A 25290-nucleotide genomic window follows, 5' to 3' on the forward strand; every position below is an offset into this window, starting at 1 on the left:
TGAGTACTAAGCCAGAATATTCATTTAGATGCAAAGTGGATTCTAGGGTATGTGATGTGTGTATTTCAAGAGTATTTCCTGTTTAGATAGCAAGCTTTATGAACTACACAGTATCTCAAATAAAAATTACACAGAAACTCATGCCTATGAAGAGACCTGTTTATTACTGATAACACTTCATTTGGCTAAAACCACAAGAAATCCACACACAAATACATAAAGTGCAAATTCTCACAGGCAGTACTTATAATACACCCTGGTGTTTTTGTAGGGAAAAATGAGAAGATGTTGACAGAAACTGTTAAAACAAGGGCACAATTTTGAACTACTGCTACACACTTTAGTCAGAAAAATAATTCATTCTTGACTGCATAAATTTTACCTGGCATATTCAATGAGGCATACAAAGAGTTTATTCTAGCCTAGAACAACAAGGCCTCACCATACATAGAAGCAGAGTCTTGCTTGAGTGGCTCTTGTAAGATACATGATGAATCATAACAGTGGACAAAAACATACCAAATAGGATCAAATTTGTTGTGACTCACTTGGAAGGTAGTGCTACTAGGCTCAAAATGACACTTAGACTAGTGATATTAAGTCTACATAGACACCATTTCTTTACCTTCCTGGCCAACACCTTGCTTTGAGTGTAAAATACCAGGCATTATATATAATTTCCACAGAGAGATATGCTTTGCTCTCTCCAAAGAAACTGAGTATTTAAGGGGATGTCTGCTTAATAAACATTACATTATAAAGTTCAGTGATGGGACTTCATTGAAAAAACTGAATTAGAAAATTCATTTTTTGATTGTTCCTTAAACTATTTGCTACTTTTAAAAAATCCCTTAATTCCTAGTATCAGCAATTAAACACTCTATAACAGGTACTGAACTAGGTGGTATGGATATGAAAAATAATAAACCACGATTCCTACTCTCGGGACTGAGCATCAGGTGGTCCTTTTTAGTCAAGGAATGCCAATAGTAACAAAACTGTTTCAGGTCAGTTTAGTTTGGCATTAATCCTTCTGAAGGTCAGATTCCAAGGGCAGGAAATAGTCTGGATATGTTCTATGTTTATATATCTTTTTTTTTTTTTTTTGAGATGGAGTTTCACTCTTGTTGCCCAGGCTGGAGTGCAACGGCGCGATCTTGGCTCACCACAACCTCCACCTCCTGGGTTCAAGTGATTCTCCTGCCTCAGCCTCCCGAGTAGCTGGGATTACAGGCATGTGCCACCACACCCGGCTAATTTTGTATTTTTAGTGGACACAGGGTTTCTCCATGTCGGTCAGGCTAGTCTCAATCTCCCGACCTCAGATGATCCACCTGCTTCGGCCTCCCAAAGTGCTAGGATTACAGGCATGAGCCACCGAGCCCGGCCTATGTTTATATATCTTGCACTACAGCCAGTGTGTGTAGCTCAAGGACTTGCCTCCACTGGGGGTGAGGGCACTGGGGGAGAAAACTGAGCAGCCACGTGATGAACATGGTGCTCCTTTGTGGTGGCATAAGTTTCAGTAAAGATTAAACATATCATTTTTATATTAAAAGTTTTATTATAAAGAATGCAAAATTCACTTACATTTTAAAGACAGAACACACTTCATGTCAGTGGTAGGCTGATTCTGATTTTGCTCTCAGAACCCCTTCCCCCTTCATCATGCCCCTCTGCTTTAGGGTTACGCTAGTGGAAAAATTTGAGCAGCAAACTCTAGGTATGTCACTTTGTCCCTATTTGGTCACTCTACACATTCTTATAGGTTCTCTTTTATAAGTACATAGTCTTGAATAAACAAAGAGGAAAGATGGTCTAATAAATATATAGTATGGTGAATACTTTAAGGTAACCAGTAGTCAACACTAACTTTGTTTCCAACTAGAATTAAATTCATGCTGTGCAAGGAGTCAGACAATGAGCAATTCTCATCTTACTATTTATACCTCTATGGCTTAGGGTAAGATGCTCTGAGGGACAAATGTGAATAAGATTTCCTTAGATCTTGTGCTTTGGCTCCCCAAGTACAAGGAAACCTGAAATAGAATGTTATGTCAATTGCCCATTCATTTTGGTTAGTACGACTCTTTCCTCATCAGTTTCTAGAACAATCTCAGATGACAAGTGAATTGTAAAAGGCCGTAATAAATTAACATATAGCAGTATGCAGACAGATCAAAACAGGTTATGAAATAGATTTAAAATTACTTCCTACAATAAGTCTTAAATATAATGACAACATTAACAAAATAACCAAAGGTCCATAGGCAAATGTAGTTTATGACTAAGCTTAAAGCATTCTGAATGAATACAGTTGAGATTTCTTATCAGTGAGGTAACAGGGCAATAGTCCTTCACAGTAACAAAATGTGCAAGGGTGCCTAGGAAAAGTGGGAGGTAGAGAGAAAAAGGCATAAAATTAAATGTATCCAAGTGAAGTTTGGATTTTTCAAGCATCACAAATATCAATGGAAAATGTGGAAAAAAGTACTGATAGCAGCAGCTCATAGAACAACTTATCCATTAAACTACAGCTAATATCCCTGTTGCATCAATTCCAGAAGCAACTTGCTTAAGAAATGGGAGGTCTATTTCCTATATAAAGACATTCCAAAGTATCCAATCTCTTAGAACCTCTCCATCTGCTAACGTATCTACATCAAAATAACAACATATATATTCAAAACGAAAACCTCAAATAACCTAAGCCACTATACATTCTTCAAGATGAACAAAATTTTGTTCAAGTCTCACTTAATTTGCCAGGTTAAATTAAAAATAACAGTGAAGCAGGAAAATTATTCATTGCACTTATGCATCAGTTACTCAAAACACACAAAAATTGTTTTGTGAGCTAAATTCTTCTAGATATGGAGTGAAACCCAAATGTTACTTTTAGTGCCCTTTATGACATTTTTGTTCTAACCTGAGTTTTTAAAAAAAATGTGCTGGAAAGAAGGACCCTTAAAAAGTCATCTGTATATCTCTTAATTTTTAAAATTTTTATTCCCTTAAAAATAAAAAAAAGATTTTGAATAGAAGATATTATGAAGATTTCTCAAGAAGTTCCTAAATCTTAAACTTTCCATGCTGTCTTTAAAAAAAAGATCCTTATTCCCTCTGGTTCTGTCTTCACTAGAGATGGAGAACACTATGGCATAGTATTTCTTACTTTGAACCCTTCAATAAAAGACTCAATAAAGCTTTATTAGCAAACTTAGCAAACTATCTCAACAGCTTTCTCCTCTCCAGAGTCAAACAATCTTTATTCCTTGAACTTTTTCTCAGAAGTCTTATTTTCTAATCTACATTTTCTTCCTTTTTATTTCTGCTCTACCTCTTCCTGAGTTCTCACATGATTCTGATACAACATCCTAGCAGGAACTGAATCCGTAAAAGGGATACTTTTTCTCACCTCCTAAACCTTGGCCTCATTTTAGTGATCACAATAAAGGAAAATGGTAGGTGCATACTCATCATAACAACAAATAAACACAAGTAAACAGGTGGGACACAGTTTATTCCCTACTGTTATGGTGTTACATTTGCCCTTCACGAGAAGCATTTCCCGTGTCTCTTTATATTGTTTGCTTATTTCTACTGTTTATTTCCAATGTATGCTTTGATCTTGCCCTACTAATTCTCTCCTTTTCTCCAAAGCTTTAGAAAATTCCAGTTTTGACTTTCATGCTCAATGAGAATGCAATCATTTTCACAATATTGTTCAAAAAGAAAAAGATAAACATTGTAGTGCCCGAGGCTGAGACCTCCTAGCCAGCACTTCTGTCTCTCCTGACCAGCTTGGGCTATCACTGAATTTATCCTGTTAGGCAAATGTGCACCTACTACATCAAGTTCATGTTAAGTATCATGCTCAGACAGACTCATGACAGGCTAGAATAAAATAATTCCCTCAATCGATACACTTCAGGAACATTTGTAAAATTTTGTTAACTTGAGAGAAGAACACTTCAATAACTTTTCACCTTAAGATGACTTAAATGTTGCATTATATTAAAGCACTCAAATAAAACTGTTTTCTTCATAATAGAATGACAGTCATGACATGGCTTTAGTAACTATGAATGAGCCGTTGATTCATTTTAGCTTCATTTTTGTTTATCAGTCACTGAAACACAGAACTAAACCAAATATACCTGTTTTTCATATATACAACATTATACCACTTTGCAGAATATATGCCATTTCCTAAATTACAATCTACATTCTTAAAAGCATATAAAACAAAAGATGTTTTACACATTTTAAAAATAAAACAAAAATTCTACACATATCTTCTCCAGTGCAAAGCCTTTGAAAACAAACTCATTGAGAAAAATGGTGCTCTACATTTAGCTAGCTGTCTATTATCTACAGTCATACAGTCATATAAGATCCAACAATAAGAAAGTAAGGAAGGAACAAATTAACAATAGTGGCAATACAATAGTTGGACAATTAGGTTTGGATTATATGAGCTCAACCAAATGTTAGCTGACAGCTGCAACAAACGAAACCATGATTTAAGGAACATTCTAATCAGTTCAAACTTTATATTATTATTTTATATGAAATAAATTCTCTAATTACAGTGCTATCTCCCATAAGCAATTTGTTTAGGTCTTGTTATTGTTATCTCCTAACTATACCCCATATGTATTCTGAGAACTATGTAGGACAAGATACATTTTAAGAAGATTAAACACAGCATTTCTTTTTCTCTCTCTCTCTCTTTTTTTTTTTTTTTTTGAGATAAGGTCTCACTCTGTCATCCAGGCTTCAGTGCGGCAGTGTGATCATAGTTCTGTAACTTAAACTCCTGGCCTCAAGCAATCCTCCTGCCTCAGCCTCCCAAAGCGCTGGTATTACAGATGTGAGCCACCAAGCCCAGCCTAAACAGCATTTCTCTATTAAACCTTTTCAGAAGACTGCATGATTAGCCAAAAGTGACTTTTTTTTTTTTTGAGATGGAGTCTCCCTCTGTTGCCCAGGCTGGAGTGTAGTGGCGTGATTTCGGCTCACTGCAATCTCAGCCTCCTAGGTTCAAGCAATTCTCCTGCCTCAGCCTCCCGAGTAGCTGGGACTACAGGTGCCCACCACCACACCCGGCTAATTTTTGTATTTTTAGTAGAGACAGGGTTTCACCATATTGGCCAGGCTAGTCTCAAACTCCTGACATTGTGATCCACCTGCCTCAGCCTCCCAAAGTGCTGGGATTACAGGCGTGAGCCACTGCGCCCAGCCCAAAAGTGACTTTTTGTAAAAAATTATTTTCTACACTAAAAGAAGATAAATAATAGTCATGCAATCAGAAATTCTACAGAAGTCAGCAAGATGTTAGAATAAACTGGACCTCTGTTTTAAAACATGTAGTTTTAGTATTTCATAATACTTAAAATTTGGATGTTTTATTCTTAGTAAAATTAACATTACTTCATAAAATAAAAGAATAAATCTACTTACAAAAATGTAATTCAAAAGTTAGACTGTCAAATAAATTCAGAGCTCCTTTCTCAGTTCAGATTTTTTTCTGTAATAAAAGGTTTGATAAATGACACAATTCTAATATGAAGATCCTTAACTACATTAAGCTTGCTTTTATTAAGATCTTTATTTATATTCCTAAGATTTTAAAATCAGCAAACTCACTTGATATAGAGGAAGCACCTACAGATTTTGGAAGATTTTCCTTAGCTATCTGCAAATTGACTGATTAAATTATGGTAAATGCAGGAACACTGTTTTTTCTGTTCACACCAGACCCTGAGAAGGCACTGAGAAATTTGATAAGAACAAAGCCAATAGGAGTGTTGCCACTATTGTTTTATGTTCAGTAAACATCAGAATTTTAAATACATACAGTAAATTTATACTGCACCAAGGGCACCTGAAACAGACATGCCAAAACCACACACTGTAACATCTGTTCTAAACTACAGAAATGCTAAATATCCTATTTCAAATACTCTAATTTGTAAATTAATACCTGTGATGTCACAATGACACTTTTTCATAACAATCAAGGAAAGTACCATTTTCTTGCCAATTTTATGGACTAATTTCCTTAACTAACCCTACAATTATATAACATTTACCTGTCTTTTTTTTTTTCTTTTACCATGCTATACACAATTACGAGATACAGAACTAGGCTTAATCACACTATAATAAGAAAACTCACTTTTGAATTGTGATGTTTCTGTTAACGGAAGGACAATACGTTACTATAATACTTTTAGTGTAATAACTTTTGTTTGAATTATGAAAAAATTTGAATCATTTCCCTCTAGACCATTTCATTTCAAACTTATACTTTGTTTAGTCTAGCCAGTTGACCAAAAAGAAAGAAAATAAAAGGAAAAAGATACTCGGCCAGATGAGATAGAGAGAGAATGCTAACACAAGGTTCAATGTATGCAGTTCTCGGTTGCTCTGTTCCATATGCCCACACAGTGTCATGACATATTGGTGTACCCCTAAACAGAACGCCAGATCAGTCCATTCTTACTAGGCTGAAGAAAATTCTCTATCAGAGCATCAATGAGTTTCTTCAGTTCTTCCTCCAGTAAAGCAGTGTCACTGAGGAAAAGATGAAGAGTTTTGGAATTATTTATTTTCATAGGCTTAAAATTTATTTAAATTAGTGTGATTTTTTAAGAGGTCCTGATGGAGTCATTAAACAATTGGTAAACAAAAGAGAAATTCACTTGGTTAAAACAAAACAAGACCAAAAAAAAAAATTACACACAAAGAAAACACTGCTATCACAAACTGAAGGTGAACTGCATTAATAGGAGTTCCTTGGCACATGATAAACAGAGGAGTGATGGTGTATCTAAAGAATTCTCCTGGGTCAGGAGAATGAGGTTCTAATGGCTTTGAACACAAATACCAGGTGTTAGGAGAAAATGGCTTCCTGAAATACTTTGAAAAATATTCAGTACAGATGTTATGGAATGATATATCTTTCAGGTAGCAGAAGGAGGTGTGACTAAAATAACGTGATGTTTAAAAAAATAAATGTGCACTTAAAAGAAGGCCCTTGAAAGTCATCACTGAGGTGCTGCCGTTGCCCAGAACATTTCGAGGCAAGCCTCTTTTAAACTGCCTTTACAGTCATTTTAAAAGCTACACAACAAATCAGTTCTTATTACTTTAATAATCTTCCTTCATTTTCAACCAGATGTAGCATTACCCAATTTGGTTTACTTTAGATTCTACTTTGAATGACTTCGGGGGCTCTTTATCCCCCCCAAAGGAAATGAAATCTATCCTTAAATGCAAAGATTTGGGGAAATACAAAATAGTATAGCTTGGTTGGACTCTGAAAGCAATTCTAAAAAATCTCCTTCCCAAATATATATTGAGCAATTACAATATTATAGGAGACAGTACTTTTAATACATTTAAGTAGCCTTTGAATATGTTTATGAAATTCACTTAGTCACAATTCATCCTCTTAAAAGGAAATGAACTGAACAGATTATGTCAAGTCATATTAGACATAGAAAATGGATATTTGGCAATAAACAAATTATTTGATGATAATTTCCTTATGTTAATCACATAATACTTAAAGCTCAGAGAATCTTTCCAAGAATAGAAATTCAATACAATTTTAAAATTCAATTCCCAAATGATGTAGCTGCTTTAAAAAATGGTCTGGCAGTTCCTCAAAAGGTTAAACACAGAGCTACCATATGACCCAGCAGTTCACTCCTAGGTATATACCTAAGAGAAATGAAAACATACATTCACACAAAAACCTGTATGTAAATGTTCATAACAGTATTCAAAACAGCCAAAGAGTGCAAATAATCTGAATGTCCATCAAATGATCAATGGATTAAAAAGCATGGCATAGCCATGCAATGGAATATTGTTGGGCCATAAAAAACAAAACTTTAAAAAAAGGAATAAATTCATGCTACAACTGAATCATGGTGGAACCTAGAAACCATTATACTAAGTAAAAGACGGCAGTCACAAAGGCCCACATATTGTATGATTCCATTTATATGAAATGCCCAGAAAAGAAGCAAATCTATAGAGAAAGACAGTAGATTGGGGTTGCTGAGGGCCGTAAAGGAGGGAAATGGGAAGTGATTTCTCATGGCTACGGGCTTTTGGGGGTGATGAAAATGTTCTAAAATTGATTACAGTGATGGATGCACAACTTTGAACATACTAAAAGCCACTGAATTGTACATTTTAAGTGCGTGAGCTGTATGGTATGTGAATTATATTTCAATAAAGCTTTTGTATGTATATCTTAAAAAAATCAATTCTTACCTCTGGTCAGGTGACGCACACATCTCTGCATAATACTTTATCTTTGGTTCTGTTCCACTTGTCCGAAGGGTAGCAACACAGCCATTTTGAAAAGTAAATGTAATCATTTGGCTGTTTTTACTCACAGGCAGCACCTATGCAAAATGGCAACAACAGCTTAATTATACTTGGCATCTTTTTCATTTTCTTTCATTTTCAAGAATTGTAAAATATAGTCCACTTATATGAGGTATCTAAAGTCGTCAAATTTACAGAAATAGAAATTAGAATGGCAGTTGCCAAGGCAGGGGGTATAGGGAGTTATTGCTTAAAGGATAGAGAGTTTCAGTTTAGCAAGATGAAAAAGTTCTAGAGCTCTGTCGCACAACAATATAAATATACTTAACACTACCGAACTATACACTTAAAAATGGTTAAGATAGTTAATTTTTGTTATGTGTTTTTTTAACCACAATTGAAAATTTAAAACATATTTTAAAAGAATTATAAAATACAAATGAAGATTACCTATATGTAATAATTCATAAACATACCATTTACTGAATAGTTAAGGCATGGGGTTATATACCTCAATGCATGATCTCTGGGCCTCAACAATAATCCTGCAAAGTAAGTGTTACCGCCATTTTACAGACGAGGCTCAAAGAGAGTAAACAACCCATTCAAGACAATCAACTAAGTGGTAGAACAAGAAGCGGAAGCCAAGTTCCAAAGTCCAAACTGCCTCTATATTTGCGAAGCATTTTTGCCGTTTATCAATCGTCTCCAAAGAGGAGTGCACACATCCTGCATGTACTGGGGTGCAGAAAGAACTCTATTTTTTATAAAAATTAAAAAAAGAAGTGATGTTTTACTGACACTAAATATATGGATTAACACTGGTACTCTTGCTAGTCCACACATCCGTCTGTTGAGGCATCTCGAGGGGACTGTGAGGGTTGTACTAGGCCAGAGGGGTTGACACTGGTACCTTTCCTCAGCTGTCCTGAGCCATGAGTCCTGTCCTTGAGACCCTTCTCTTGGTCAGTACATTACCATATACCAGTGACTTAACACAGAGATCTTCCCTTCTTTTTCACCCACAGCCCATAAAGTAGCAAGTCCTTTCTATACTTTATTTAACTCAACTTTATCCAGTTCTTTCCATCACTGCTCCTATATTGAATTCAGGTGACCATCACACCTCATCTAGACTGCTGACACAGTGTACTAACTGATCTTCCTGCCTGGAAGTTTGCCCCTCAAAACCCACTCATCATGCAGGCCATTCTTCTCACCTCATACTCCAGTTATAGACAACTACCTGTGGTTCTCTGAAAGAGAATATGCTTTTTCATCTCTGGACCTTGTACTTACTGTTCCCTTTGCCTGAAACACCCTCTGCTCCTCCTGCATCTGGCCAACTCCTAATCATACTTGGGAACTCAGTTCAGAACAGTTCTCTAGAAAGTCTTGCATAAGCCCCCAAAGTCTCTTCCATGACATCCTATGCATGCCTCCCCTGGTAGCACTTATCATTTTGTAAATTGCTATTTACTTGTCAATTTCCCCACTAGACTTTTTCTTGAGTGCAGTGTTTTTGTCATTGCTATATTCCTAGTGTACCTGTGCCTGCAGCACAGAAGGACTCTGATAAGTGAATATACACAGATGAACATCAATTAATCTGAAACATGGAAAAGAGAGAATTCAGGAAGGCTTTGACACTTACTATGCAACCTTGGGGATAACAACATCTATGCTACCTACCTTACAAACTTGTTGTAAGAACCAGAAGAGAATAGATGAAAAAGCACCCTGAATAATGAATATTATACACTTTAACGAGAATTAAGAGGGAGAAAAGCATTATACCATAGGCTACTTGAGCACAGCAAACTAGAGAAATAAAAAGAAGCAAAATGTGATTCTTCTCTTCCAGCAATTTACAAAGATAGAAAAGTAGACACATATATACTCATACACAGGATATCAACACCAGGAACTAATATTTGTTGATTGGATAAATATGCAAAAATGGAATATGGGTACTATTCTACACAATAAACTACAGATTTTCCAAAATACATTATGTCCCCAGAATCTTGAGACCACATCAGAACATTACAAATGGAAATTTGGGCTAATAATCATCACAACAACAATAACAAAATGAATATAATCAGCATCTATGGCATTTAAGTATTTGTTGAGCAGCCACAACATAGGCAGCAACTTGGTGAGGCAAAAAAGTACATCAGAAAGGAACATGCCATGTACAACACAATGATGACATAAAACAGTAATAGGAGGAAGGCACACTATGTAATGAAACCTGAAGAGGAAGGTGTCTAATTATGAGGCCTAGAGGTCGCGTGGAACAGGTGACATTTGCCTTAAGTCTTATAGTAGCTGAGGTATGGGCCTGTAGAAATTGGAAAAATGGGTAAACTAAGGAAACAACTGGACCAAAAATGCAGAAATTTAAAAAAAATGTATACATGTAGGTAAGTAAGTAAGCTGTTCTATTTGGCTGGAGGTATAGGGAATAAGGTTGGAAAAGGAAGTTAAAATTAGAAAGATGTATGGCTTTGAAATTATAGGCTTTTACAGTTATTTTCAACATTATCTAGCATCCTTGCCCATTTTCTCTTTTTCTTTCTCTCTCTCTGCCCCCACCTCCATTCCACACATCTTACCCTGAGGGTAGTATACATGATTATTTGGGAAGTGATAAGGATAGGATCAAAGTCAGAGAGATAAGTTAGCAGACTGAAAAATGCTCTGGAGCAAAACAATGGGTTCTAGTCTTAAGGAAACTCACAGGCCTGAAGTTTCACCATTTTATTATAGTATTGATGCAGGTGAACCCCCAAACTGGGGCTCAGCCCAGGAGGGTTCTTGACTTCACACAGGAAAGAATTCAAGAATGAATCAACAGAGTAAAGTAAAAGGAAAGCAACTGCTGGGCGTGGTGGCTCATGCCTGTAATCCTAGCATTTTGGGAGGCCGAGGTGGGCAGATCACTTGGGGTCAGGAGTTCAAGACCAGCCTGGCCAACATGGTGAAACTCTGTCTCTACTAAAAATACAAAAATTAGTCAGGCGTGGTGACATGCTTCTGTAGCCCCAGCTACTCAGGAGGCTGAGGCAGGAGAATCAGTTGAACCTGGGAGGCAGAGGTTGCAGTAAGCTGAGATCATGCCACTGCACTCCAGCCTGGTAGACAGAGCGAGACACTGTCTCAAGGAAAAAAAAAAAAAAAAAAAAAGGAAAGCAATTTTATCAGAGCCACAAAGTACAGGAAAATGGCTGCTTCATAGGCAGAGTAGTACCATGGATTGCTGGCTAGCTATATTATAGCTTCTCCTTAATTATATGCTAAATAAGGGCAAGTTATTCACAAATTTTCTAGAAAAAGTGTGAGGAGTTCGTGGAACCAAGGGTTCCTCCACGTTTAAACCACATAAGGTAACTTCTGGGTGTTGCCATGACATCTGTAAGCTGTCATGGTGTTGGTGGGAGTGTCTTTTAGCATGCTAATGTATTATAATTAGCATATAATGAGCAGTGAGGGGAACTAGAGGTTGCTTTTGTTGCCATCTTGGTTTTAGCTGATTTTGGCTGGTTTCTTTACTGCATCCTGTTTGGACCAGATCCTGTTTTGATCAGTGAGGTCATGACCAGTGCTTGGAAAACAAGTCCTGCTGATCTCCTATTTCAGTATGAATTATAATAAACTGTTAAAAACTTTTTTTTTAAGTATTTACAGGAGCTTCCAGCTTGGTAAACACGTGGACTTGCTGGGAGGCTCCAGGCCCCAACCCCACCCCTAGTACATTGCCCTATACATCTCTTCCATCTGGCTGTTCCAGAATTGTCACCTTTATAATAAACTGGTAAACATGAGGAAACTGGATTGAATCTCATGTGAAATCTGTCCTGCCTCTGGACTTTTTGGTGACATGAGCCATGAAATTTTCTAAATTGTTTGGAAAAAAAAAAAGGTACTTACTGATTTCTTATTAGGCTGGCTACTGTCATATCCAGTGGTAACGTCCCGTACATGCAATATAGCAAATGTTCCACAAAATTTTGGATATTCTTTTGGAGAATCAAAATTACGAAGCCTTTCAAATATACTTTTGATGGTAGGTGGTTCATAACACAAGAAATAGGAAGTTTTTGAAATATGATAACCATATCTGTGCAAAGATTCAAAGTGCTAAAATTAGATTTCAGATAACTCTTTAAAAAAGCATATATTAAGGAAGATCAGCCTACTATGGTATTTTATACAAAGTGGCAGTCCTTAATTCACATAATTTTAATACTTTTTAAAAAAGGATCAACTATTCTTCAGAAACAAATTTAGAAAACTAAGGGTAGGACAATAAAAGAAAAATCTAGCATGTGAAATTCATAATAGTAGAACTTACTTTTCATAAACCTTAACCAGTTGCTGTTTCAATGTTATATTCATGGTTTCCAGGTAAGATGCCATCTCAGCAACCACAACAGCTGCACTCACCCCATCTTTATCCAAAACTGAAGTTCCACAGAGAAAACCTGAGGATTGAAAACCATCACTAGAAAAGAGGAAAACTTAAGGCTATAATTTCAATAGTTTTACATTTCTTCAGAAGGACCAGGAAATTTAAAAGCCTAGTAATAGATGAAACTCATCAATACTGAGTGTATTTAGGGGACACTTTCGTTCTTTTTTTTTTCTGATAAGAAATGTATCTACATATTTCTCATTCTCTGTAGTTTTTACAACTCAAAATATGAAACCAGAACACAAAAAACTCCTCCTACAGAATTACATTTTAAAAATTATCAATCAAATTTTGAAGATTTTAATATTTACTACATACCAATAGACTCTTCAAATGCAAAAAGGACTTCTTTCCCATTTTCCAGGAGGTCTATTATCCTACTTCCAATCCATTTAAAACCTGGTAATGTTTCCTGAAATGCAGAGGAGGCCACTCTAGTTAAGTGACTGTCTCACAAATACCTATTAGAGAAAAATCTGCCACTACATGCACACAACGTTCATATAATGATCCTTACTATAGTCTTCAGTCCACAAAGATTTATACAGTAGCAGACATATAGTAATGAAGGGCCATAAATACACACACTGCTACTACTAATGACCTACTATTTACAGATTATAGTACTAGGTGATTTACACCAAATATAAACCAGCATTTATAAGTGGTGCTTCATGTAGTCACAAAGTAACATGAATAAGCACATACAGTATAATCAGTATAATCACCTACTATTAAGGACTGAACCAGGTGCTTTACATTATCTTTTTTTTTTTTTTTTTTTTTTTTTTTGAGACGGAGTCTCGCTCTGTCACCCAGGCTGGAGTGCAGTGGCGCAATTTCAGCTCACTGCAACCTCCGTCTCCCAGGTTCAAGCAATTCTCCTGTCTCAGCCTCCTAAGTAGCTAGGATTACAGGTGTGCCACCACGCCCAGCTAATTTTTGTATTTTTAGTAGAGACGGGGTTTCACCATGTTGGTCAGGCTGGTCTTGAACTCCTGACCTTGTGATCCACCTGCCTCAGCCTCCCAAAGTGCTGGGATTACAGGCGTGAGCCACCACGTCTGGCCCCATTATCTTTTTTTAATGCTCAAAAACGCTGTCGCTGAAACACAGCCTTGAAAGATAAGTCAATCTGCCCAAAATTATACTGCATATAAGAGATGGAGTCAAGATTCAATTTCAAGTTTCTGCTTCTCAGAAACTGTCCTTTAAGCTATATTACAACCACTAATATAAGAGTGCCTATGAAAGTTGGTGGATTTACTCTCCCTGAGTAATCAATGAAAGGTCATGAAGCTTTTTAGTGATGCACTTTTAATATTAGCATAACATAAGCTTGAACCAAGTGTACCTTCTCATAACACTGTGTCCTAACTATTAATAAAACCACCAAGACAGTTACTAACTACTTCTTTAAATAATTAGATTTGAGGACTTTTCATCTAATGAGCTACTGTTCACTTTAAAGACACAGAAAGAGTTTCAGAGTCAACAGAAAGAGTATGTGATACACCCTAATACTAAAGCTCACCATTACTAACTTGTTTCCTAATTCACCTTTCTACCTCCTTACTACAAAATAAAAATTAAAAAGTCAAAAACCTCCCTGCTACAACAAAAACAAGCAAATAAAATTATAATAGTGGTCTTTAGAATTGTTCTTCTTTCTCTTTTGTGCCCATTATACTTCTTCTTGCTATAGACATAAACTAGGAAAACATCAGAATCTTAGGTGTGAATCAACTTTCAGTATCTTCTATTTTGCTATTTGTGTTTTAGAAAGCATAAGGTTGAAAGCTCTATTTCATAAAGCCAGGTACAATTTTCTTTTACTCAGTAAATTAGTGTTAAGACCTGTAGCCTGACTATGGCTCAAGAAAAATGTCCAGGGACATTTTCACTGATATTTGGCAAAGATGGCAGAGAAAAAGCAATTTAGTTAACATGGCTGCAAAAATGGTCAGCTTAAGGGTCTTAAGGTCATAAGGTTAATGATCTGGGCTGAGAGAGAGCCACTGCTTGTTTTTTTGGATGTAGGATCATTGGGTTTACTATGCAATTTAGAAGACTACTTGAAGTTCCTTAAGACCATGCTTGAAGAGCCTGAACAAGGGGTTGATGACACCTACAACTTTTTGGAGAGAAGTCTGAGTTACTGATGGGGTCACCAGGAGCTATATTTTCCCTGTCTGAAAACCAGATATTTGTTGTACAGAATAATAAGTATTAATGTAATTTTTAAAGAATATCTCATCTTAGTCCCAGAAATTCATATACGGTACTGGATGAATTTTGGCTCAAGGTGTCTAAATTATCAAAAGAGACTGAACAAGTGTTAACAGAATTAGAAAAATAAGGGAATTACAAATGAAATCAATGAAAGTCAGTCTTGGTGGGGAGATGTCTTTAACATACAGAAATAGGTTTTAAAAAGTAGCACACAGATATTATTGATTCTTACTTCAAAATGAAATCCTTCTTTAAGTGCAATTGCCTTCAGAATTTTAGAAGAGACTGTGGTGGCTAACATATAAACGTTCTTCACATCAGCATTTCTTGATTTATTTTTCTTCCAGCAATCAAACATCCACCATCCAAACAAAGCTGCCAACTCATTCCCTGTGAAAACTTTCCAACAACCACTGTAGAGAGAAGGAAAATACAATGTCAAGACCTTTCTTCTCATTAAAACTTCTTGACTCCAAGGCCTAAAAATTACCATCCTTCAGTTAGGAAAAATCAAAAACTATCATATGGGATTTTTGAGAAAACATTTATTACTACTTCTTTTCTAACTGACCAGGGGTGATTTTACGGTAGGAATGGTACAACGTCTTTTGGAAAATTATTATATCATTACATTTATTCTTTTACTTAATGAGAGAAAAAATTATGATAAATAATTAAGCCTTTCTATTTAAGGACATTTGTCACATTATAATGGTAAAAATACATAGCAGCCCAGAGGACTAAGATTAGGAAATAGGTGGCTCATGCCTGTAATCGCAGCACTTTGGGGGGCCAAGGTGGGAGGATCACCTGAGGTCAGGAGTTCGAGACCAGCCTGACCAACATGGCAAAACCCTGTCTCTACTAAAAATACAAAATTAGCCAGGCATGGTGGCACATGCCTGTAGTCCCAGCTACTTAGGAGGCTGAGGCAGGAGAATAGCTTGAACCTGGGAGGCAGAGGCTGCAGTGAGCCAAGATAGCACCATTGCACTCCACTCCAGCCTAAGCAACAAGAGCGAAACTATGTCTCCAAAAAAAAAAAAAAAAAAAAAAAAAAGCAAACAAACAAAAAAAAAGGTTAGGAAATAACTACATCATAAAGCGATCTGTTGGGATATTATGTCTTTGTAAAAATTAATATTTTCAAAAAATGTATAAAGTCAGGGGAAAATGCTTACACTGTAAGCATTATACTTAACCATTACACTGTAAGCAGTTTTTGAAGCATTTTGTACAATTAATGTGGAAAATAATCAAGATATAAAACTATGATCATAATTTAATAAAAACAAATACATCTTTAAATATTTCAATTTAAAAGACAGGAAAGAATTATCAAAGTATCAACTTAGGTGGTTATTTTGGGATAATGGATTTACAGGAAATTTATGTTCTTTTCTTATCTTTTCATTATTTTCAATGAGCCTGTAAGACTTAAAATACATTGCTTTTCAAAGTTCAAGCTTTTAATCAAATAACAGATTCTACATACTTCTCCTGAAGTTCTGCTGCTGCCAGTCTGTCTGCATCAGGATCTGTGGCTAGCACTACCCGGGCATTTTCTTTCTCTGCCAGTCTCAAGGAAAGTTCCTGAAACAGTGACCCAAAAAGCTGGATTGTACTGAAGAACCTAAGTTCAATGTTAACGTTCCTGTATGTAGGCACAATGTTAGTGATAGGAATTTTAGAAGGCATAGAATTCAGCTACGTTTAAAACAAGAAGCCAAAAGTAGGGACACCCACCATAGACATTTCAAACAAAACACAGCCTATTATTACTCCAATACAATTAAAAGATGTAAACTACAGTCCTTTCTGCTTTTGTAAGTAATCTTTGAATTGTCAATGAGTTCTATCTATTCTGATGGTTTAATAAACTAATAATAATTTAAATATTTAAAAAAATACCAGCACAGATTCTCCTTCTTCAGGATTTGGACATTTAACGGTAGAAAAGTCTGGATCAGGATCTTTTTGTTCTGGTACTGGAATTGGAGGCTTAAAACCAAACACTTTAAAAGCCAACTGCACATAGTCATGTCCGACCCCATGAAAAGATGTGTGCACAAATTTCAAGGTGGTCTTCGAGTTTAACTCCCTGTAAAGGAAAATCAACATAAGATCATGATTACAAAACCTCTTACCTTTGATATAATTAAAAACAATCAAATTCTGATTTGAAAATGTGATTAAATGTGATTTAAGCCTTCAGCAGAGGTCTAAGATATTCAAACAAACAAATCAAGAGTACTAACTTAAAGATCAAGAGTTTTAATTCAACAGCATTCTCCCTTTGTGGCTCAACTTCCTGACCTGGACAGCTGCCTTCCATATGCTGTGCCAATACCCTGAACAAGCTAAGCTTGTATCATCTAAGTAAATATTATCTCTCACTAGACCATCACAAACACTTCCTAACTGGTCTTTCTCGCTTGCCAGTAGACCCCTCGTTTCTTCACTTCCAGTTTAGATTGCAAAGTACCTAATTACACTCACCTTCTTATATGTCAGTCTGGCTACTTTGACCCTCCAATACCCCAAATCTTGTTGAACCCAAATGTGTTCCTTTTCCAGGCTTGCACCAAAATAGTTGAATATTGCTAGAATAAATCTCACAAAAGGATTGAACAGCTTCACTCTGAATGGACACCCAATGCTGCCAGGCAATCCTACTTTGTTACCCAAAAAGCTTACTTTTTTACTCTCCAAGATGGTGACTTAATTAGTACCTTCTCTTCTCTCCTTATTCCTTTCCTCCCCCTTCATCTCATACATCACTCAGACACAGAGCCATTTGATGGGAACTTCCTAATCGTCCCACACCAAACCGACAACCCATATTTTTTCCTTCTTCCATCTGATAATAACGAGGAGGTGTTCTTTGTATCAAAGGTCAACCCCTCTACTTCTGCTCTGGTCCCCATCAATTCTCACTTGAGAACTTTAGTACATGGATAATTCTCTCTCGCCGGCATCATTTCCATTAGCATCTAGTCTCTGTTTCTTTGGTCTTTTCCACAGCAAAACTTTGTACATCCTAACCTACCATTTACTAACTATTCCCCATAAAAAATACAATTTATTATAAGATAAATAATAAAAATAAAGTTATGACAATTTTCAAACATATGCATAGGAAGACAGAATATCTAACACCATATACCCATTACCTCACTTCAATATGTTTCCATTGTCTGTCAATCTAGTCTCATTTATTCAAGATATATTACTTTACATGAAAATGCTTTAGTATTTAGAAACATAACCATATTACCATCATTACATCTAACAAAATCAACAATAATTTCTTTCCTCTAATACCGTATCTGTGTTCAAATTTTCCCCAAGTGTCTCAAAAATACTTTTAACAGTTGTTTTACTTGAAGCAGGACCTGAACGAGGTTCCATATAATTTGACTGCTATGCCTCTCAAGTCTCTTTTAATCTGTAAATGTTCCTCCCTTCCTTCCCCAACCCAAATGTCATTTATTGAAGAAACTGGCCCATTTGTCCTGTAGAATTTCCTGTATCTCCAGTATGTAGACTGCATCCTTTTGGTATTAACATGCTCTTCTATCCTATTTTTTCTGTAAATAGGCAACTGCATTTAGAGGTAACATTAGATTCAGTTTCAATTCTTTGGGCAAGAATAGGTGCTGTGTATTTTCTATTGACTCACAGGTGGAAGCACACAATTTCTACTCTACTTTTAATGCTGTCAAACTAAGATTCACCAGTGTCAGCCTAATCCTTCCATCAAAATATTTCCCATCAACATTTCACCTATGGGTCTTAGCAGCCCTTGATAAGAATTACTTAGATATATTATTTATTAGAGGTCACAACATAGTGATTTTGAAAATTCTGTTATTTCTTCTGCATTTATTGTATTTTTCTTTTAAAAATAATGATCCTTCATCAACCATTTGATTAGCCCTAAAATTCAGTTCATATAGAAAAGGCAGAACAAATTAAGAGAAAGTTTCAAACATTTATTGATTTTCAGAAGGAAAATTTAGAATTTATCAAATTTCAGCCTGTGTGATTTTCAGTCCAGCAACTCCCAAAGGTGACCAATAAACTGCTTTTTTAGTATTACTAACAGTCATGGGCTTTTTAGGTTTAATGTTTTAATTCATTGAGGTGATTATTCTTTTTGATGCCCAACTATCCAATATTTGGTCAGTGGGAGTCCCTTCAAGTTGGCTCCCAGATCTTTTTGATATGACCCCAGTATCTTTGAAAGCTAGCCTGCTTCATGGCAAGGAAAACAAAGTTATCTCAGCCTCATTTAGTACATTTTCTGCCCCACTCCTTGATAAGAATCAATTTCTCCAATGAGCCCTGGTTCCTTTTACTAGGAAATGGTATTTAGAAACCACAGTCTGGGCTTTAGGGGTAGGCATTGGCCTTTTTAGTAACAGAACTAGTATTTTGGTATTTTAGGTAAATAAAACATATTTCAAATTCAAATTTAAAATTATAATTTTAAAATTATTTTATTTGATTTTACATTCACTTCTCTTAAACTAAAATCTTAGATCCTAGTGACATTAACATAATTACCCATTTGTTTTATCATATATATGTGTATGTCTATATATTTATTTATATCTACATCTGTAAAATCATCAATATTACCACTAACAGTACAGCTATCAAATAAAATTTGAGGTTTCTTTGTAGTTCTTTATCCTTAGGACATATCCCACTAGAAATACATAGTCAATAACTGTAAAGTCACTTGAAATAATTCTTCTCTGTGTAATTATGCCTTCAGCTTGATAAATAGTTAGGTTCACTTGTTAATTTGCTTTTGCCCATATACTCTTTAAAAAACAAAAATGTAAATAAGAAAAGACAGAAAGGATAAAAAAGGAATCAAATTCTTTTTAGATTGATTAGAGCTGGTAGCATTTAGCTAGTATTACTGTCACTTATTTTAGACGGAGAAGCAAACAGTTGACAGCTTGATGGGTATACTTTTGAAATTAAAATAAAGTTGAGAAAAAGCTAAAATTATTTTGTAGGATAGGAAAAATACACTCAGCTAGCCAGGATTCTTCCTAGCAATAGTGTTAGCTATTTACAGAAGAGTTACAGAGATAATTATGGAAATATGGAAATGGTTAAGGAAAAATAAACTCTTAAGAGAAATGTACTGATCTAACATAGAGGAAATACATATATTTAAGTATAACTTGTTTAACAGCTTTTTTGAGATATAATTCACATACCATATAATTCACCCATTTAAAGTGTGCAATTCAATGGCTTTCGCTATATTCATAGAGTTGTTCAACCATGACTATGATCAATTTTAGAACATTCTCACTACTCCTGAAAGAAACTCTAGGCTGGGCATGGTGGCTCACACCTGTAATCCCAGCACCTTGGGAGGCTGAGGCAGGCGGATCACCAGAGGTCAGGAGTTCGAGACCAGCCTGGCCAACATCATGAAACCTTGTCTCTACTAAAAATACAAAAATTAGCCAGGCATGGTAGTGGTTGCTTGTAGTCCCAGCTACTTCGGAGGCTGAGGCAGGAGAATTGCTTGAACCCAGGAAGCGGAGGTTGCAGTAAGCCCAGATCGTGCCACTGCACTTCAGCCTGGGTGACAAGAGCGAGACTCTGTCTCAAAAAAAAGGAAAGAAAGAAAGAGAGAGAGAGAGAGAGAGAAAGAGAGAGAGAGAGAGAGAAAGAAACTAACTCTATAACCTATAGCTTCCAGCCCCCAACCCTTTCATTCCTTCCAGCCACAAGAAACCTCTAATCTATTTCTGTCTCTATAGATTTGCCTATTCTACATATGTCATATAAATGGAATCATACAATATGTGGTTCTTTGTGACTGGCTTCTTTCACTTAGCATGATGTTTTCAAGGTTTATCCATGTTGTGGTATGTGAGTAGTTCATTTATTTTTATTGCTGAATAATATTTCATTGTATGGATATACCACATTTTACTTATCCATTCATTAGTTAATGGTTACTTGGGTTATTTCCACTCTTTGACTCTTATGAGTACTATTTAGCTATAATTTTAATCTAATAAATAGACAACACTTTTTATCACTTTTTATTCTCCTCATTCTTTAACGTTATTCTGAAGTAGTATTATCTGATATTCTCACTTGGATACCTGTAAAAACAGATCTTTTTCAGATCTTCCATGTATCTCCTGCAAATGTCCTGCAGAGGGTCTCTCTTCAGCGGGCTGGTATCCACTAAATTATCATTCCAGGAACCATTCCAGGGTTCCACACATTCTTCTATACATTTTAGAATTTCTTTATCATGAGGAGATGTGATCTGAGCACCAGTTTCCCAGTAAACCTAGATGATAAGTAAATATAACCATAATTACTTAAAATGCTTGCCAGATCTTTTCTTGTCTATAGTTGAGATCTTCAGCTTTATTAAAAAGCATATCAAATTGAGGCCAGGCACGGTGGCTCACGCCTGTAATCTCAGCACTTTGGGAGGCTGAGGCGGGCAGATCACGAGGTCAGCAGATCGAGACCATCCTGGCTAACGTGGTGAAACCCTGTCTCTACTAAAAATACAAAAAATTAGCCGGGTGTGGTGGCAGGCGCCTGTAGTCCCAGCTACTCGGGAGGCTGAGGCAGGAGAATAGCATGAACCCCGGAGGCGGAGCTTGCAGTGAGCTGAGATAGCGCCACCACACTCCAGCCTGAGCTACAGAGCGAGACTCTGTCTCAAAAAAAAAAATAAATAAAAATAAAAATAAAAATAAAGCATATCAAATTGATCAAATAAAAAATGTCAACATAGGAGGACTAATTTAATAAATATTAAAAGATATAGATAGTAATGACTCTACAGGGACTCTTCAATCAAATGATTATATATGATTTTCTTTTAGAAGTATACCTTAATAACAATATGAGTAAAATACAAGCAGGGCTAATTATTATGATAACATTATAATATGCATATGCCATAGTATCCAATTATACTCTTAAACCTATAACTATCTACTAAAGATAATCCAAGAAACCACAGACTATTCCCTAAAACTTGATACTATTTAACTTAACATTATAAAGTAGTTATGTGATATAGAAAAAAGTCATATTTCTATTATAAAGTAGAATTTATATCATACCAAATATAGTTTATTAACAATTAATGTGTTAATTATCCATATAAATTTCAATGAGCTTTCAGTTTGTCAAGTAGCCTGATCAATAAGACATTAGGAACAGTTACCAAAAAAGCATGAAAATGTAATTCTATTAATTTATAGGATTTCAAATTTGGAAGGTTAGAGAATATCTATGGTGACTTCTACCATGCATATGACACAAATCCCCTCTATTGCATCCTGAATGAAGGAAAGAAGAATACATTTGAATCTGTGCTATGTACTAATCTCTATGCAAAGAATATGGTTAACCAGATGACCTAAAAACCTGTTCTCTATAAACACCTCAAAATGCTACATAAAACAGAAAAAACATTATCTTAAATGCACAGCATAATTCACAAGAGGAAAGGGACGACTCCAGGCAGTGGGAAAAAAATAATTAAAAAGCAGAATGATAAGCCTGTGGGACTGATATTGTGGTTACCTGGGGTTTGAGAACTGTCCATTTATCTGGTTCTTGGATTGTAATGCCCATGTGCAAGGTAGGGAGTTGGAACTGAGACCCCCAAATAAAAATGGCATCCTTGAAGCATTTCACTCTCAGTGAAAATGCAGAATAGAAAAAGTCCTGCCCACTATTACAGAGATCATGAGGAAGCATGTCTCTTCTTGAGTTCTGGGTAATTAAAAAAATTTTCAAATCCAAGGTCTGCACTTCAGTTATTTTAGGATGAGAAACAATAAATTAACACAGAAACTGCCCCCAGTCAGTGAAATCCTTGAGGTTCTAGCAGAATTTTTAAAACAAACAAAAAACCCAGAATGTTTTTTTGTGTGTGTGTGTGTTGTATTGAATATTTTAATATCCTAACAGAAAGCAGATTTACAATATCTTTGTAGTGTTTGGACAACTTAATTTAGTTAATTACAATTTGAATGTTAAAATTTCGACTGATCTTTTCTCTCAGATAATTTAAATGTAAATTTTTTTTTTTTAAGTATTTATTGATCATTCTTGGGTGTTTCTCGGAGAGGGGGATTTGGCAGGGTCATAGGACAATAGTGGAGGGAAGGTCAGCAGATAAACATGTGAACAAGGGTCTCTGGTTTTCCTAGGCAGAGGACCCTGCGGCCTTCCGCAGTGTTTGTGTCCCTGGGTACTTGAGATTAGGGAGTAGTGATGACTCTTAAGGAGCATGCTGCCTTCAAGCATCTGTTTAACAAAGCACATCTTGCACCGCCCTTAATCCATTTAACCCTGAGTGGACACAGCACATGTTTCAGAGAGCAAGGGGCTGGGGGTAAGGCCATAGATTCACAGCATCCCAAGGCAGAAGAATTTTTCTTAGTACAGAACAAAATGGAGTCTCCCACGTCTACTTCTTTCTACACAGACACAGCAACAATCTGATTTCTCTTTCCTTTCCCCACACTTCCCCCACTTCCACTAGACAAAACCGCCATCGCCATCATGGCCCGTTCTCAATGAGCTGCTGGGTACACCTCCCAGATGGGGTGGCTGCCGGGCGGGGGCTGAAAACCCAGAATGTTTAAAACAAACAAAACTGTTCTGGAGGGATGCTCCCACATTTCAAGCCACAAAAAAGATTCTCTCCATAAGTCCTGAAAGCTCACGTGAAAATTTATAAAACATAAGAAAAAAAATCCTATTCTTTCTCTCTGTCCCCTTCTCCTTGCCTTGTCTGTGGATGTGATGCCTGGAGGTACAGCAACCACCATGTGATGACCATGCTTGAGGGTAAGGCCAGAAAAACTGCAGAGACACAAAGCCTGACATCATGGAGTGACAGAACCATGCCTGTGGCCACCTACCTCTGGACATTTTGTTACGTGAGAAAAATGAACTCCTATCAGCTTAAGCCACTTTTGTTGGTTTTACTTAATCTGCACCAGAAAGCATTCCTATCTGATATAGTAACATAAAAATTCATGCAACAAAATATGTCCAGGAATAAATGTTAAAAAATGTGTGAAAAATCTAGTTTAAAAAAACGTTTAGGTCAGCTTACTGCTTTCTGCCCGTGGATGCTGCTGAGGAAGCATCATTAAAGTCTCCTTCCCCCTGCTGTCATGTCTAAGTCAGAGTCTCCTAAAGAGCCTGAACAGCTGAGGAAGCTCTTTATTGGAGGGTTGAGCTTTGAAACAACCGATGAGAGCCTGAGGAGCCATTTTGAGCAATGGGAATGCTCACGAACTGTGTGGTAATGAAAGACCCAAACACCAAGTGCTCCAGGGGCTTTGGGTTTGTCACATATGCCACTGTGGAGGAGGTGGATGCAGCCATGAATGCAGGGCCACACAAGGTGGATGGAAGAGTTGTGGAACCAAAGAGAGCTGTTTCAAGAGAAAATTCTCAAACACCAGGTGCCCACTTAACTGTGAAAAAGCTATTTGTTGGTAGCATTAAAGAAGACCCTGAAGAACATCACCTAAGAGATTATTTTGAACAGTATGGGAAAAAAATGAAGCGACTGTAATCATGACTGACCGAGGCAGTGGCAGGAAAAGGGGCTTTGTCTTTGTAACCTTTGATGACCATGACTCTGTGGATAAGACTGTCATTCAGAAATACCACACTGTGAATGGCCACAACTGTGAAGTCAGGAAAGCCCTGTCAAAGCAAGAAGAGATGGCTAGTGCTTCATCCAGCCAAAGAGGTCGAAGTGGCTCTGGAAACTTTGGTGGTGGTCGTGGAGGTGGTTTTGGTGGGAAGGACAACTTTGGTTGTGGAGGAAACTTCAGTGGTTGTGGTGGCTTTGGTGGCAGCCATGGTGGTGGTGGATATGGTGGCAGTGGGGATGGCTATAACAGATTTGGTAATGATGGAAGCAATTTTGGAGGTGGTGGAAGCTACAATGATTTTGGCAATTACAACAATCAGTCTTCAAATTTTGGACTCAGCCAGGCGTGGTGGCTCACACCTGTAATCCCAGCACTTTGGGAGGCTGAGGTGGGTGGATCACCTGAGGTCAGGAGTTCAACAGCAGCCTGGCCAATGTGACAAACCCCGTCTCTACTAAAAATACAAAAAATTAGCCGGGCGTGGTAGCGGTCGCCTGTAGTCCCAGCTACTCGGGAGGCTGAGGCAGG

The 25290-nt window shown here is 36.6% G+C and overlaps 1 protein-coding gene, 1 long non-coding RNA gene and 1 pseudogene across 3 annotated transcripts in view; 2 read left to right on the forward strand and 1 right to left on the reverse strand.

Moving 5' to 3' along the window:
* LOC112268078 (uncharacterized) overlaps positions 1–25290 on the forward strand; it is a 40429-nt gene that overhangs the window by 1870 nt on the left and 13269 nt on the right. The gene's annotated exons all lie outside the window — the stretch shown is intronic.
* PGM2L1 (phosphoglucomutase 2 like 1) overlaps positions 144–25290 on the reverse strand; it is a 68118-nt gene continuing 42971 nt past the window's right edge. For both annotated transcript variants that reach the window (NM_173582.6, XM_011544953.4), the window contains 9 exons: positions 21211–21404; positions 16976–17165; positions 16560–16657; positions 15297–15477; positions 13151–13244; positions 12713–12842; positions 12289–12478; positions 8296–8429; positions 144–6582 (listed from right to left, as the gene is read on the reverse strand). In NM_173582.6, the coding sequence (NP_775853.2) occupies positions 6480–6582; positions 8296–8429; positions 12289–12478; positions 12713–12842; positions 13151–13244; positions 15297–15477; positions 16560–16657; positions 16976–17165; positions 21211–21404 (1314 nt within the window). In that variant the 3' untranslated portion in view covers positions 144–6479. The remainder of the gene's footprint in view (positions 6583–8295; positions 8430–12288; positions 12479–12712; positions 12843–13150; positions 13245–15296; positions 15478–16559; positions 16658–16975; positions 17166–21210; positions 21405–25290) is intronic.
* HNRNPA1P40 (heterogeneous nuclear ribonucleoprotein A1 pseudogene 40) lies at positions 24192–25100 on the forward strand (annotated as a pseudogene).

This window comes from Homo sapiens, chromosome 11 (genome assembly GCF_000001405.40).
Source record: "Homo sapiens chromosome 11, GRCh38.p14 Primary Assembly".
Classification (NCBI taxonomy): domain Eukaryota; kingdom Metazoa; phylum Chordata; class Mammalia; order Primates; family Hominidae; genus Homo; species Homo sapiens.